Here is a 14863-nt window from a genome sequence, read left to right as displayed (position 1 = left end):
TAATCCCAGCTACTCGGGAGGCTGAGCTACTCGGGAAGAATAGCTTGAACCCGGAAGGTGGAGGTTGCAGTGAGTCAAGATCACACCATTGCACTCCAGCCTGGGCAACAAAGAGTGAAACTCTGCCTAAAAAAAAAAAAAAAAAAAAAAAAACAACAGTAATTAAACTTTCCTTAAAGAAGAGAGTATGATGAGCTCAGAGAAAGGGGACCTTTCCGTATAAGGAACATGAGACTGACTGGCTGGACGCAGTAGCTCACACCTGTAATCCCAATACCTTGGGAGGCCAAGGAGGGTGGATCACCTGATGCCAGGAGTTCAAGACCAACCTGGCCAACATAGTGAAACCCCATCTCTACTAAAAATACAAAAATTAGGCGTGGTGGTGGGCACCTGTACTCCTAGCTCCTCAGGGGGCTGAGGCAGGAGAATCCCTTGAACCCCAGACGTGGAATTTGCAGTGAACCGAAAATCGTTCCACTGCACTTCAGCCTAGACAACAGAGCAAGACTCTATCTCGAAAAAAAAAAAAAAGAACATGAGACTGTGAACCACTAATTGCTAATACTGATCATTTATCCCCCCAGATGAAGAGCATGATCTAGAAGAGGATGAGAGTGGCACTCGACGAAAAGGAGGTATAAGAGCTTCTAAATGCACAGGCACTGGGTAGGACATTATGGGCTTCTGATTAGAGAAAGCACCTTTCTCTGAGACTACAAAAATTACTGAACTCAATAATTAAGAGGGTACCTGTGTGTGAACCCCAAAGCCCTAAATAAAGTGACTGGGTAGGGAAATACCTAAACTTTAAAAGCAGCCATACATTCACTTTAATTAATGTTCCCAGAACAGCCAAGATTTATCCTAGAGCGGGTGGGAAGCCAAACCAGACATTTATTTTTTCCTATCAATATTTCTTATATCAGTACAGTGAAAATAGAATTGCCTCATCTCTAAGAGATCAGAGGATTGAGAATGGAAAGAATGGAAATGTCTCCTCTCTGAGAGGCCCGGAGATTGCAAGTTCAGAGGGGAATGGAAATGTGTCAGATCTGAAAAGTGAACACAGGGTGAAAGATAAAATTCCTTGGTGATGCTGACTTCTGATAGCCTGGTTTGATTCCAGGCACATTTGGAAATGAATATGTAACAGGTTTGTTGAATATAAAATTACATCTTATTCATCCCAGACTGTTAACCATGCTTCAGGCTGTTAGTGAGCCCATCCTTTCTAAGGTCAGATGCCCCTCTGAAGCCTCCTTAAGTGGACCAAGGACCTATTCCATGGTTGTCAGTAAAGGAATGCTGCACATTGCAAGGGCCACCTCAAGGACATTCGTTCCGTCGGCAGAGCCCTAATCATGACTGATTTAGATACTGGCTGATATTTTTCTTAGGGAGTCTATGAAAATCTTAAGCCTAGGAATTCTTGCCCTCTTTCCCTCCCTGCTCCTTCTCCATTATCTAGCCCTGTCTTTTCCTATTCTCCTCTCTCCTTTCCTTGTGCTTTTTCTTCTCTCCTTATCCATCCAGCAAAACCCCCATTTCTAGGTTCATTCTCTACAGAAAGTGAATACTTAAAAGGTTCAGGACCCAACTTCCTAAGGGTCCAGCTTCTCCCAGGGAAGAGAAGAGACAACGAAGATGCAGCCTCAGAAGTCATGCGCCAAAGCAGGAGAGAAAGAAAGCAGTGGAGGCGGGTGTGATGCACGGATGTGAGTGTAGCTGCAAGTACCTCATGATAGTGAACACATGTGATTAGGTCCATTCTGAAACCTATTTCCTTCTGTTGTCTACTTACTGTACAGAATTCCAAATGAAAATCTGTTCTGACCCGCCCATGTTCCACATATATCTTTTCTCAACCAACTTCCATCACCAGTGCAGAAAAGAAACACTTCATGTGGACAGCTTGGGTGGAGTAACTGTAAGCTTCCTATGGCCAATTTCATATTAAACTCCATTCAGAAAGCATTGATCTTTTAGCAAAGTCTAGAATCCAGTTTCAGACTCCTCCCTCATCTCATTTCCTCCTTCCACCTCTTTCTCTAAGGTTATATCTGGGAGGTGAGAGGAGATTTATTTCTTAACTGTTCCTACAGCTATAATTCAAGTAGGTTTAAAAAAAAAAAAACCTTTTGTTCCTCATGCTTCCTGCCTCCAAAATAAGTGTTGTTAAAGTATAGCAAGCTCTGAATATGTTTCTATGGTTTACACTTCCCACCAGTTATAATGATTGGTGACTTAGTGATTAAAAAACAGGAGGACTTTTTGCTCTCTCTGCAGAATCTGAGGCAGGAATTTTTATTATTTGTGTTTACTTATTTATCGATTGATTTTATATACTGCCTTTTCTCCAAAGGCGCTATAGAAATGGTGAAAAATACATAAATCCAAATGTCATCATTTAGTTTTGTAACAATAAAAGATAGAGGTCTGGGGGAAGGGCAGGCAGCCCCAGTGAAGGCATTTAAAAGGCAGGGAGCTCTAGGACAGTGTGAATTCCTATGTCATAGACAAGCTACACAAGTTTGGGCTACTTAGTTTTTCTCAGGTGTGTGTTTTTTTGTTTGTTTGTTTGTTTTTTGAGATGAAGTCTCGCTCTGTTGTCCAGGCTGGAGTGCAATGGCGCTATCTCCGCTCACTGCAACCTCTGCCTCCCAGGTTCAAGTGATTCTTCTGCCTCAGCTTCCCGAGTAGCTGGGATCACAGGCACGTGCCACCACGCCTGGCTAATTTTTGTACTTTTAGTAGAGACAGGGTTTCACCATGCTGGCCAGGCTGGTCTGGAACTCCTGACCTCAGGGGATCCGACCGTCTTGGCCTCCCAAAGTGCTGGGATTACAGGCATGAGCCACCACGCCCAGCCTTTTCTCAGGTGTTAACATGCTTTTGGGGAGAAAAATATATATAAGCAAGTTGACCTTTCCCTTCTTCCTTTTTTCCCAAAAGATGCTATGGCTAGCAGAGTTACTTTTAAAATCCAAGTACTTTTCTCCAACCTCGATGGATCCTGTTCCTTGAATGCTGTGCTTTTTTCTCTGATGGAATTGCTAACATTCTGAAGGCCTAACTAGATCTTATCAGAATAGGGGGGAAGGGATTCGGTTCATCCTTATTGAGTGTTAATGACCCTGTAAGATGTAATTTCTTTTATTTCATTCTGTTACCTAGAAAATCTATCACAGCCTTGTAGTATTGATTGCTCAATCTATAAAGAGCTCAGTTTACAGCATGACTGTTAGTAACAGGGTTATTTTAATGAGTGACTCTTCAACACCTCAGAGTTTCACTAAATTCCAACCCATCAGCCCAGTAGTCTAACATTAAGGGTCTTAGGTAATGAGAACTTATCACCTTTCCCTATCATGAAAAGGTAACCTCCAGGTAACCAAAAATAAAACTTCCTCTGTGTTCGTTTTTTATAGAAATTACTGGCCATTTGTTTGCATGTGCTATGTCAAATAAAAAGCAACCCTGGAGGCACAAATCATCCTTAGATACATAAAATCCCTGACCAAGGAAAACCTGAAACAGACCCCTCCCACCCGTACCTCCTTCAGTCTGCCCCCAACCCCAACTCTGAAATTGTGGAAAAACTAAGCCAAAAGGAGACACAGACCACACTATTGTGGTCTTATAAGCAAATGATTGCTTTTAGGAGGGCCAAAAAATGGTTGCTTATACCATTCCATCTCTGAGGCCCCCTTCTCACTTTAGTGCGCGCCAATAGAGTGAACTACTACATGAAAGAAACAAAGGGAAACCACAGAGGTGTTTGCAGCTCTTACCTTTTGAAGCCTGTTTTCCAAGACCAAACATGAGCTGATTATTAACCAGCTAAAATTATGGCCCAATGAAAAGAGGAAATGACATGAAAATCAGAATCTGAGTATACCCCACTTCCAAATCATACTTATACCACTAAGATCATAGTAATTTCAAAACTCAAGATTAAAGGGCTATGAAATAAGCAAATGGTATTATCCAATTGCTCTTCCTCCTCTGGTGCCACAGTCATTGGGGGCTTGGCAAATATTTTCATAGCTTTCTTCTGAAATAGTTAATAAACTATCAAGGCTGGGCGCAGTAACTCACATCTGTAATTCCAGCACTTTGGGAGGCGAAGATGGGAGAATTGCTTGAGCCCAGGAGTTTGAGATCAACCTGGGCAACAAAGTGAGACCCTGTGTTTTCAAAAAATTAAAAAGATTAGCTGGGTGTGGTGGCATGCACCTGTAGTCCCAGCTACTCAGGAGGCTGCAGGGGGAAGATAGCTTGAGCCCAGGAGTTCGAGGCTGCAGTGAGCTATGATTGTGCCACTGCACTTCAGCCTGGGTGACAGAGCAAGACCCTATTTCAGAAAAAAAAAAAAGGAAAAATTGTCAGAGTTTACTTGAATGAACTCAACATGTTAGACCTTTCTGACCTGGCTTAAAGAACATTTCAAGTCACTTCCAATGGGTCACTACTTTGGCGTTTTTTGTCCAAGTCTTACCATCCCATCCTCTCGTAGGACTGGCTTTATCCATCTTCATGTTTTGTCTCTCTTTTCCATAACTTAAGAGGTTGTACTCAATGCCAGGCCTTATTGACACGATCATTTTAGTAATCAAGAAAATGTAAATAACATGCTGGCCTGCCTTTAGCCACTTTTCCCTGATCACAGCCTGAATTCTGTCGCTACCCAGTGACTCCCAAACATAAGCTGAACTGTGGAAGGAACAGTCAGATTTTATTGTCCCTAAGGAAGGAGAAAGGCAGAGAGATGTCCTGGTCCTTTTTACCTTAAAACTTTGCTCGTCACACAGGCTAATTTTCAGCCATTGACTCTATCATCAGTAGCACCAACTTGGCCTCAGTTACAAGAGAAATGACTGTCACTAGTTGTAAAGAACCTGGCATGCAATGACAAATGCTTTGCAATAAATAGAAAAAAGAAACCAATACTTTTTTTTAACTTGTTCTGTTGCTATTCTTCTTATGACATTTTGGTTGCTTGGAGTTTAGCTTCCCTTACATAGGATAAAGAGAGTAAGATGCTGCTTTTTTTTCTCTAGAAAAAGCCCTTCTCAGCTCTGCTAGCAATTTAAATGCAGTGATCATACCCATTAGCTTCTCTATCATTGTAATTGTTGTTAATTGTTATAACTGTTTTAGTTATTAGTGGTGTCATTATTGCTCTAGGTCCTCTGTCTGTTTTATGCTGAATATATTAGTGCTTTGCTTTTGAATTACCAGGCTTTATTTAGTGCAGAGTTATGTTTTTCGGAGAGACATTGAGAAATGCTGGCATTAAGCTTTATTCTTTTGTTTTTCATTCCAAATGGACAGACTGGAAAAAAAATAATTAGATGGAATAATGTCCTTAAAATGAGAATTAGGATGTTTTGAATTAATTAAATGGTCAGAATGCTGCACCATTTCTGATTTCAGACGGCTGCCAGAGTAGTGTAAGCCTAAAGGAATCTAAATCCAGCCCATAGAGGCAAGCCTCACCCTTGGGCTCTCAGTTCCTCTCTCTGCTCTACAGAAATCAAAGTCGGCCGGGCACAGTGGTTCATGCCTGTAATCCCAACACTTTAGGAGACCGAGGTGGGCGGATCACCTGAGGTCGGGAGTTCAAGACCAGCATGACCAACATGGAGAAACCCCGTCTCTACTAAAAATACAAAATTAGCTGGGCGTGGTGGCACGTGCCTGTAATCCCAGCTACCCGGGAGGCTGAGGCAGGAGAATCCCTTGAACCCAGGAGGCAGAGGTTGTGGTGAGCCGAGATCATGCCATTACACTCCACCCTGGGCAAAAGGAGCAAAACTTCGCCTCAAAAAAAAAAAAAAGAAAGAAAGAAAGAAAGAAAGAAAAGAAAAGAAAGCAAAGTCTCCTCATGCATTCTCTTGTTTATAGGATGAGTTGGGCAGGTTTAGGGAGAAGCTGGACTAGCCCTGCAGACTCTGGGCTTTTAAGCTCTTCCTGGTGCCAAGCTTCAGGAATGAAGCCCTCCTCCAACTTATCTCTTCCCCTCTTCAAGGTCTTTAACACCCACTTGGCCAGAAAAGCCTTTTCTGACCCCTCAAACTATGTTAGATTCCCTATTACACACAGCGTCCTCAACTTCTCCTTCACAGACATATCATAATCATAAATAAACATTTGTGTAACTGTTTTTTCCATGGTGCTTCCCCGACTAGAAGGTACCCTTGAGAGGAGGGCTCATGTGTGGCCAATGTGGGATTCCCAGTATCTAACACAGTCCCTGGCATTTAGTAGGTACTGTATACATGTCTGTTGGATGATGAGAATGAATTAGTGAAGTTGCATGCACACATACACATAAATGCATATCACATGTGTGTTAAACAGGAAGTCTGCAATATGGAGTCACCTTGCCCAGCTAAGGAATTATCCCTCACTGATTTCCTTAATAGAGAATACTTCTAGCTAGCTAGCAAGTTCAAACTTTTCCCAGTTTTTAGCCCTTCATTCTGCCTGTTTTTTTGGAGCTGTTCTACTTCTGACTGAAGTTCCCTATTCTTGGGCTGAGCTAAACCATCTCCTGGATTCCTGAACTCTGTCTTCTTTTGGCCTTTAATATCAAAGACCTTTTCTATCTTTATTTTTTTCCTGGAAGGCTTCTGTTTTTCTCCTAGCTTCTTGCTTTCCCTGTGATCTTTTGTGCTTTTAGAATAGATCTTTTTCCAGATGTTCTCCCAGGCCCATATATACCCAATGTCAAATCACTTTTTATGTATACACCAAAAAGGCACTCAATATTAGGACCTATCCCATATCCAGGCACACAGTAGGGAACCGTACTCCAAAGTGACTATCTGCTAGGCCAGAAAAGACCAAGATAACCTTGTTAGTCTCCTTACCACTTAGAAATATTGTTATGGTTTTAGAATCTATTTTTACAAAAATGGTTTTCTCTACCATATATAAATCCATGAAAAATATTGATGTTAATATTCTTTCATTCCTGAGTTTAGTCAAAATCTTGGGGTAATTAATCAACTCCATTAAAATGGAAAATTCATAATATATCCTCTGGGAAAACTACTTTCACTTTTCAGGGATTGATATTTCTCTATTATTTCATGTACTTAATATTTCCAAAAATGAATGCTTTGTCTATTCAATAACTAACATATTTCTCCCAAAGTATTTTTCTTCCAAACATATTATCAACTCTGTGGCAGAATGTTTTCACAGTAGTTATCTTGTTTGCTGCCCTCTGTTGTCTACTGCACACACAGACAATTTTATGTGTGAAGAAAACATGCCTGAATTTCTATATGGTTGACATTTTTACTTTTGTTTGCAATATCTGAGTTTTAACTAAATAGTTCTCTCCCTCCTCTGTTTTTGTACCCTTTAAGATTCCTACCAAAATTCTCTTCCAGAGACATATAGGGATTTTGTCCCTCCGTGCCTTTATTATTTAAATTGCTCGTAAGTCAGGAATAAGTAGAAAAAAAGCAAATATAGGGAGGGTGTCTGTGCCCCTACTGCCCACTTGCCCTATCCTCAGCCACCAATACTATCACTGCTCATGGGAGGGTAAAATGAATAAAGGGAAAGGTGGAAATCTATAGAACAGAGTCCCCCAAAATCATGTGAATTTTAATTAGAACCCAGGACTCCTGACTCCCATCTATTGAATTTCATCTTTTGTAGGTGCTTTGTTCACAGCTCTGATACAGAGCACCCCAAGGAAAAAGGAGCATGCCTGGTCTAGTGGGCATTAGCTCTCCTGCCATTCAAATCCCCAGATCCTCTCCCACTTTGTACTCTAGTGTTTAACCTTTCCGGGTAGAAGATCAATACAAATTCTTCATTGTTAAGAATCGATGGCTGTCCTGTGGCATCATTGCCATCTAGTTCTGCTGAGAAGCTCAGTAAATCTCTCCAGCTGCTTCTAAAGCTTGGTTTGTCGTCTTCAGTTGCTTTCATTTTTAATGCAGATCACTTTGGTTTCTGTTCCCCTGGGGCTTGCAGATAAATCTTGGCAGACATGTTCAAGGTCTACAAATGAGATGCTGGAAAAGGGCCAGCCCACCCAGAATTTAGTTGTAATGGATGAGACACCCCCTTGGTTCCACTTAAAGACTGGGCTATTCGTTTCAGTATTTATTGGTGATTACCTCATATAGTACCTAGGTGGGAAGTTCCCAGGACAAAGTTCCTATGGACAAAGAAGGCCGAAAAGTGAGCTGTGATCCAGAAGCCTGCTGGCTGACTAAGCCTTTCTTGTAAATAGGCAGAAGTCACAGATTTACTCTGATCCTTCAAATGCATAATGAAGAGAAAAACTAGATAGTTAGTTGCCCTGGATCAGGAAAGTCTGGCGGGAAACCTCTGCACTGCTTACTTACAAACCAAGTGAAAAATTACCTGCCTGATTTTCTTTTATTAATAAATAAATATATTTATCATATTGTTGAACGGCATCCTACTAGGAGTGATCTGTAAATATTTAATGTTAGTTAATGATCTCCTTCTCCCATAGTCCTTTGCTCATGCTGAGTGTTTGGCTGTATCTCATCTCAACTCCCCTTAATCTGAGGTTTCCTAGGGGCAATATCAGAACCCTGGTTTCCATTTGCAGCAAAAACATGGGTACCTCGGAAAAAATAGAGTCCTTTTAACTTTGATTTCTCCTCTCTTTGATCAGTAGACTATGCCAGTTACTACCAGGGCCTATGGGATTGCCATGGTGACCAGCCAGATGAACTGTCCTTCCAACGGGGTGACCTCATCCGTATTCTGAGCAAGGTAAGGACAGAAAGTGTGGGGCTTAAATAGAAAGTCAATTTTTTCATTCTTGATTTAGTCACCATAAACAGAATTATTCCATGTCATACACTTCCCATGGCTCCCTCACAATATAAATTCCCATTTATTCATAATTGTTAGGAAAAGTTTTAAATGAAAATCCAGATTCAGGAACCATTTTCACATTTAAAAATACAAGGCTAGGCCGGGCGTGGTGGCTCACGCCTGCAATCCTAGCACTTTGGGAGGCCGAGGCTGGTGAACTGCCTCAGCTCAGGAGTTCAAGACCAGCCTGGGCAACATGCTGAAACCCAGTCTCTACTAAACTACAGAAAATTAACCAGGTGTGGTAGCACATGCCTGTAGTCCCAGCTACTTGGGAGGCTGAGGCATGAGAATTGCTTGAACCCGGGAGGCGGAGCTTGCAGTGAGCTAAGATCACGCCACTGCACTCCAGCCTGGCGATGGAGCAAGACTCCATCTCAAAAATAAATAAATAAATAAATAATAAAAATAATAAAATAAAAAATGCAATAAAATTGGTATTATACCAAAACCATGCCAATCAAAATTTAATCTTTCTCAGGGACTTGTGCTTAAAGGTCATCACTATGTACATAATTTATTACCATGTAATACTATTGAAAACATTCTGGCTAGGTAAGCTGCCTTCTTATTTCATTTATAGATAAACAAGACTGTAACATAATTATGTATGGGGGAGGAGTCAGAGCTCGTTAACTCAATTGGTTTGAGCAATTGCTGATAAGGCCAAGAGAGTGAATTCAATCCCACACAGGCCAGCTAACTTTATTCTCTTCCTCAGTCATAAGTTAACCCCTAGTTCCAGCTAACCATCTTACAAATAGTAGTGTTGACCGTAAACAAACTGGTTTTTTAAAAAAAGGATGGATTATTACAGATCAATCACTGATGTGAAGAAGATTCAGAACTCATGGGCTACAGTTTGGGGGATCAGTAGCATCATGTTGGTAAAGAAAGACCATACATATTCTATAGGTGGGCTAAAATAATAGGCTCTGTCCCTAGCACTTATTAAAAAGTCCTCTCTCTATGCAGCCAATCAATCTCTACAAACACATTTTTGAAATAGGCACAACTTGCTCTTTAATTGCTGAGTATGTGGATTCCATAAGGGAAAACTGAAAACCCGTTGGTTATTAATCTGTCATTTATCGTTTATCTTTCTTCTTTTTTTTATGTGTCAGTATCTTTTATCTTTATTCTGTGAATTTTACTACCTTGGGCAAAGGTTTGTCTTGGTTTGAGATATACCATAAGCACCTTAGGAAACAGTCTAGGTCTAACCCACAGCACCTTTCTATGGTTCCAACAGAATCAGGCCCCTTTAAATATGGACCCAATTCAAATCCAACCCTTTGTTTGCAAGAGAGTAGGAGGCCTGCAGGCCTTGTTGAGTGAGATCACAATCTTCTAGTGATTTATCCTGGATCCTTAACTCAGTACCACCCTAGTGCCATTTCTGTGTGGCTCCAATACACACCAAGAATAAATTGGAAGCAAAAAAGGGAGTGGACATTGGCCTGATTGGTATTTCAAATGCCCGAAAGCAAGGTTTGCCGTGTAATAGAATTTGTGTACATTACCACACTGGCATTACAGGGGTAATCGAGTTATCCACTCAGGTGTGACCAGGCCTCTGTTTGCCCAGAGCCTGCAGGTGAACAAATTAACTGTTTACATTGTCTGGAGGTGCCTGCAGCAGGAGGGGGGAAGAACAGAGCCAGACTGGCTGCTGGCCTTCTCTCTGTCATGATTATTTTGTTTGTTTTGCATGTCTTTTGCCTTTGTTAATGGCTTCTCACTGGGGGTCCCTTTCCTCTAGTTAGAAGGGGTTGTGCGGTGACCTGTCCTGCAGTATGGAGCTGTCTGTGGTTACAGTGGCTATTGTATTTTTAAGAAATCTCAAAGAACATGGGGAACCAATCCAATCTTTAAAAAGAAAAAAAAAAAAACCTCTTCCCCTTCTCTGTTACTAAAAGCTAACATAGGCCAGGCATGGTGGCTTACGCCTGTGATCCCAGTATTTTAGGAGGCTGAGGCAGGAGGATGCTTGAGCCCAAGAGTTCAAGACCAGCCTGGGCAACATAGCAGGATCCCATCTCTACAAAATAAAAAATTTAAAAAAAAATAGCTGGGTGTGGTGGTACATGCTTGTAGTCTCAGCTACTCTGGAAGCTGAGCTGGGAGAATCACTTGAGCCCAGGAGTTCAAGGCTGCCATGATTTTTGCCATGATTGCCACTGCACTCTTGCCTGGGTGACAGAGTGAGACTCTGTCTCCAAAAAGAAAAAAAGAAGAAAAGAAAGCAAATATATCAGGGTTTAATTCAATGAGAATACCTCACTGCCCTGTTTCTATCAGTTTCTTTCTCCTCTCTTCTGGAAGGTTCTGAGTCCATTTTCATCCTGTACCATTGTATTAATAGTAGCATATTTCTTTCCCAAAAAGCTACACCAGCTGGCTCCCTTCCCCATGTTGCAAATCCCTGCATATCAAAGAGGAAATGAGAAGTTAAGAGCTCAGCTGAACTTTCCCTCATGAAGCTGCATTCCAGTTAACATTGGTTTGGGGAGCATTTCAGTTTTGATTCACCTGTATTATATTACCTAATTCAATAATAGTCCTTGGACAGGAGGGAACCTTAAAAGGCCACCCAATCTATTCATCGCCTTGCTTCTAAGAAGCACAAATGAACAAATTCAAACAGATAGAAAACGAGATTCCACTACCATTCCCAGCCATCTGTCTATTCAGAAGTTCAGTAGTGCCTCATCTCTGGAATTTTCTCTCAAATAGATCCTAATTTATTCCCACTTTAGCCTCAGCTGCCTTCTTTTGCTGGGGTCCGTTACACTCTGCAGCTGCCTCTCACGCCTGTAAGGACAGAACTGACCCAAGTTGAATTTAGTCCCGGAAAGTGGTGTCTAGAAAGCTCTATTTTACTTTTCTTTTTGTCCAGTAGAAGCTCTGTTGGACAAGAAGGGCCTGCTGTTTAGGAATCTAGGGAAATCTGTTTCCCTGAGAGACACAGATGCAGCTGTGTGCAGCTCAGCTTAAGTGGACTTGTTTCTTCACCTGTTAAAAGAGAGCGTGGAGTTGGATAGCATCTAAGAATCCTTCTACCTCAGACATTCCCATTCTAAATATGGTGGGCCTGACACTGCAAAACTGCTAAAGAAGTTCCACACAAAAATGTGTTTTAGCCTTAATTACTTATTCAGTTTAAACAAAAAAGAATTTTTTTAAATTACCAGCTCTTTTGTTTTCAGTTCTCATAAATACATCTGGTTTCCCCCTCTCTCTCTATCTGATAAAAGTATTCTGAAAGGCAGAGTCCGGAGTGCAGAGGTTAGAGGATCTAGAAGGGGAGGTGAGATGGAGGTGGCAGGGGAAATGAGGATGGCAGCTTTAGTCGTAGGCTCCTGCTGCTCCCTGCTGTTTCTTTTTTTTTTTTTTTTCTTTTTGAGAAGGCGTCTCGCTCTGTTGCCAGGCTGGAGTGCAGTGGCGCGATCTCGGCTCACTGCAGGCTCCGCCCCCTGGGGTTCACGCCATTCTTTTGCCTCAGCCTCCCGAGTAGCTGGGACTACAGGCGCCCGCCACCTCGCCCAGCTAATTTTTTGTATTTTTAGTAGAGACGCGGTTTCACCGTGTTAGCCAGGATGGTCTCAATCTCCTGACCTCGTGATCCGCCCGCCTCGGCCTCCCAAAATGCTGGGATTACAGGCGTGAGCCACTGCGCCCGGCCTCTGCTGTTTCTTAATAGTCACCCAAGCATGATCCAACTTTGAATCTTAGAAGCCTAGGACCAAACTCAGGAGAATCTTTTTTTTTCTTTTTTCTTTTTTTTTTTTTTTTTGAGACAGAGTCTCGCTCTGTGGCCCAGGCTGGAGTGCAGTGGCACAATCTCGGCTCACTGCAAGCTCCGCCTCCTGGGTTCACGCCATTCTCCTGCCTCAGCCTCCCGAGTAGCTGGGACTACAGGCACCCGCCACCATGCCTGGCTAATTTCTTTTCTTTTTTTTTTTTTCTTTTTGTATTTTTAATAGAGACGGGGTTTCACTGTGTTAGCCAGAATGGTCTGGATCTCCTGACCTCGTGATCCGCCCGCCTCGGCCTCCCAAAGTGTTAGGATTACAGGCGTGAGCCAGCGCAACCGGCCCAGAGGAGAATCTTTTAGTCTTGCCTTTGGGCAAGAATGATCACAGAAAGAGAGCTATTTATCGCATTTTTTTTTTTTTTTTTTTTTGAGACAGAGTTTTGCTCTCGTTGCCCAGGCTGGAGTGCGATAGCATGATCTTGGCTCACTGCAACCTCCACCTCCCGGGTTCAAGCAATTCTCCTGCCTCAGCCTCCCAAGTAGCTGAGATTACAGGCTTGCACCCCCATGCCCAGCTAATTTTGTATTTTTATTAGAGTCAAGGTTTTGCCATGTTGGTCAGGCTGTTCTCGAACTCCTGACCTCAGGTGATCCACCCACCTCGGCCTCCTAAAGTGTTGGGATTACAGGTGTGAGCCACCATGTCCGGCTATCCCTTTTCAAAAAAAAAAATTATCCAGAGAAGATGATTGACTGGGCAAGAAAGATGCTCCCCAGTGGCTAGGTGTGGTGGCTCATGCCTGTAATCCCAACACTTTGGGAGGCCGAGGCTGGCAGATCACCCGAGGTCAGGAGTTCGAGACCAGCCTGGCCAACATGGTGAAACCCAGTCTCCACTAAAAATACAAAAGCTAGCTGGGCATGCTGGTGCATGCCTGTAGTCCCAGCTACTTGGGAGGCTGAGGCAGGAGAATTGCTTGAACCGGGAGACGGAGGTTGCAGTGAGCTGAGATAGTGCCACTGCACTCCAGCCTGGGCAACAGAGTGAGACCCTGTCTCAAAAAAAAAAAGAGGCCGGGCACGGTGGCTTACACCTGTAACCCCAGCACTTTGGGAGGCCGAGGCGGGCAGATCACCTGAGGTCAGGAGTTCAAGACCAGCCTGGCCAACATGGTGAAACCCCGTCTCTACTAAAATACAAAAATTAGCTGGGTGTGGTGGCAGGTACCTGTAATCCCAGCTACTCAGGAGGCTGAGGCAGGAGAATCTCTTGACCCTGGAAGGCAGAGGTTGCAGTGAGCCGAGATTACGCCACTGCGCTCCAGCTTGGGCAACAGAGCGAGACTCCGTCTCAAAAAAAAAAAAAAAGATGCTCCCCAGAGATAACCAAGTGCCCATCACCTGTCCTGTTCTCAGGGAAGCAAGTAAGTGCCTGTAACAGACGGGTTATTTATGACCCTGGGCAAAAATCTCCTAATCCTGATAATCTTCAGTTTCCTCACCTGTAAAAATTGGGAAATTTTATATTTATACATTTGTTGTGATGTTTACATTAGAGAATTTGTGTAAGGAAGTGCCTGGCATGTAGGAAGTAGGAATATTTCCTTCCCTTTTACTAATAATAAACTTTTGGATCAGTGTTGGGCACATACTAGGAGTTCAATAAATTATTGAAAAAGAGATGATCTACAGCACAAAAGTCGCTCACTTGGATACAAAAAAAAATACCCAGTGAAGAGGCCTACATGAAAATCCACCATGCCTTTCCTGGTCTGAGAGCTTTCGTCCCTGACAGATTATTCAAACTTCATTTTGTGGAGAGACCAGAGCCACACATCCAAACTCTGAAACAGTAACCAGTGGCACAGTCAGCAGGAGGACTCCCACTGACCTCCCTGCATCACATCCATGCATTCCTTGGCCCCATGCAGTGTCATGCCCACTTAATTCACTGAGTTCCAATTTGGGTCTCAAAATATATTAAAGGGAGATTTTAATAACGAAGCAGATCTGTGCATCCAGCGGATGTTCCTGTGTTCCTTTTGGACTCAGATATTTCTGAACAGCTTTTTCTGGTGAGGGACTAAACTTCCCTTCCTCCCCGGAGCCAGGATGCAGCTCAAGCCACAGCAGGGTGTTTAGCGCTCTTCAGTGGCTCCAGATTGTGGCGCTGGTGCAGGTCTCCTCATACGTAACCAATGGCTCCTGAGAGCCTGCGACTCG

At 42.8% G+C, this 14863-nt stretch overlaps 1 protein-coding gene and 1 non-coding gene across 14 annotated transcripts in view, besides 1 other annotated feature; both read left to right on the top strand.

Moving 5' to 3' along the window:
* The window catches only part of SKAP1 (src kinase associated phosphoprotein 1), a 311620-nt gene that overhangs the window by 273815 nt on the left and 22942 nt on the right, over nucleotides 1–14863 (top strand). For 8 of the 13 annotated variants that reach the window (NM_003726.4, XM_017025258.2, XM_047436976.1 and 5 more), the window contains 2 exons: nucleotides 588–638; nucleotides 8678–8778. In NM_003726.4, the coding sequence (NP_003717.3) occupies nucleotides 588–638; nucleotides 8678–8778 (152 nt within the window). The remainder of the gene's footprint in view (nucleotides 1–587; nucleotides 639–8677; nucleotides 8779–14863) is intronic. The other 5 variants (NM_001075099.2, XM_047436973.1, XM_047436979.1 and 2 more) reach the window with 2 other exon arrangements.
* Nucleotides 10343–10888: an enhancer, noted in NCBI's record as "OCT4-NANOG-H3K27ac hESC enhancer chr17:46237721-46238266 (GRCh37/hg19 assembly coordinates)". NCBI's record gives its function as "activates a minimal SCP1, AML or CMV promoter by ChIP-STARR-seq in naive H9 embryonic stem cells {active_cell/tissue: H9 hESC(naive)}" and the evidence as "EXISTENCE:reporter gene assay evidence [ECO:0000049][PMID:30033119]".
* Nucleotides 14736–14820, top strand: MIR1203 (microRNA 1203). Its single transcript, NR_031607.1, has one exon. It is a non-coding gene; the product is annotated as a microRNA 1203 (primary transcript).

The sequence above is a fragment of the Homo sapiens genome, chromosome 17 (assembly GCF_000001405.40).
Source record: "Homo sapiens chromosome 17, GRCh38.p14 Primary Assembly".
NCBI lineage: Eukaryota > Metazoa > Chordata > Mammalia > Primates > Hominidae > Homo > Homo sapiens.
Note: the sequence above shows the minus strand (reverse complement) of the source record. Positions and strands in the feature narration are given on the sequence as shown.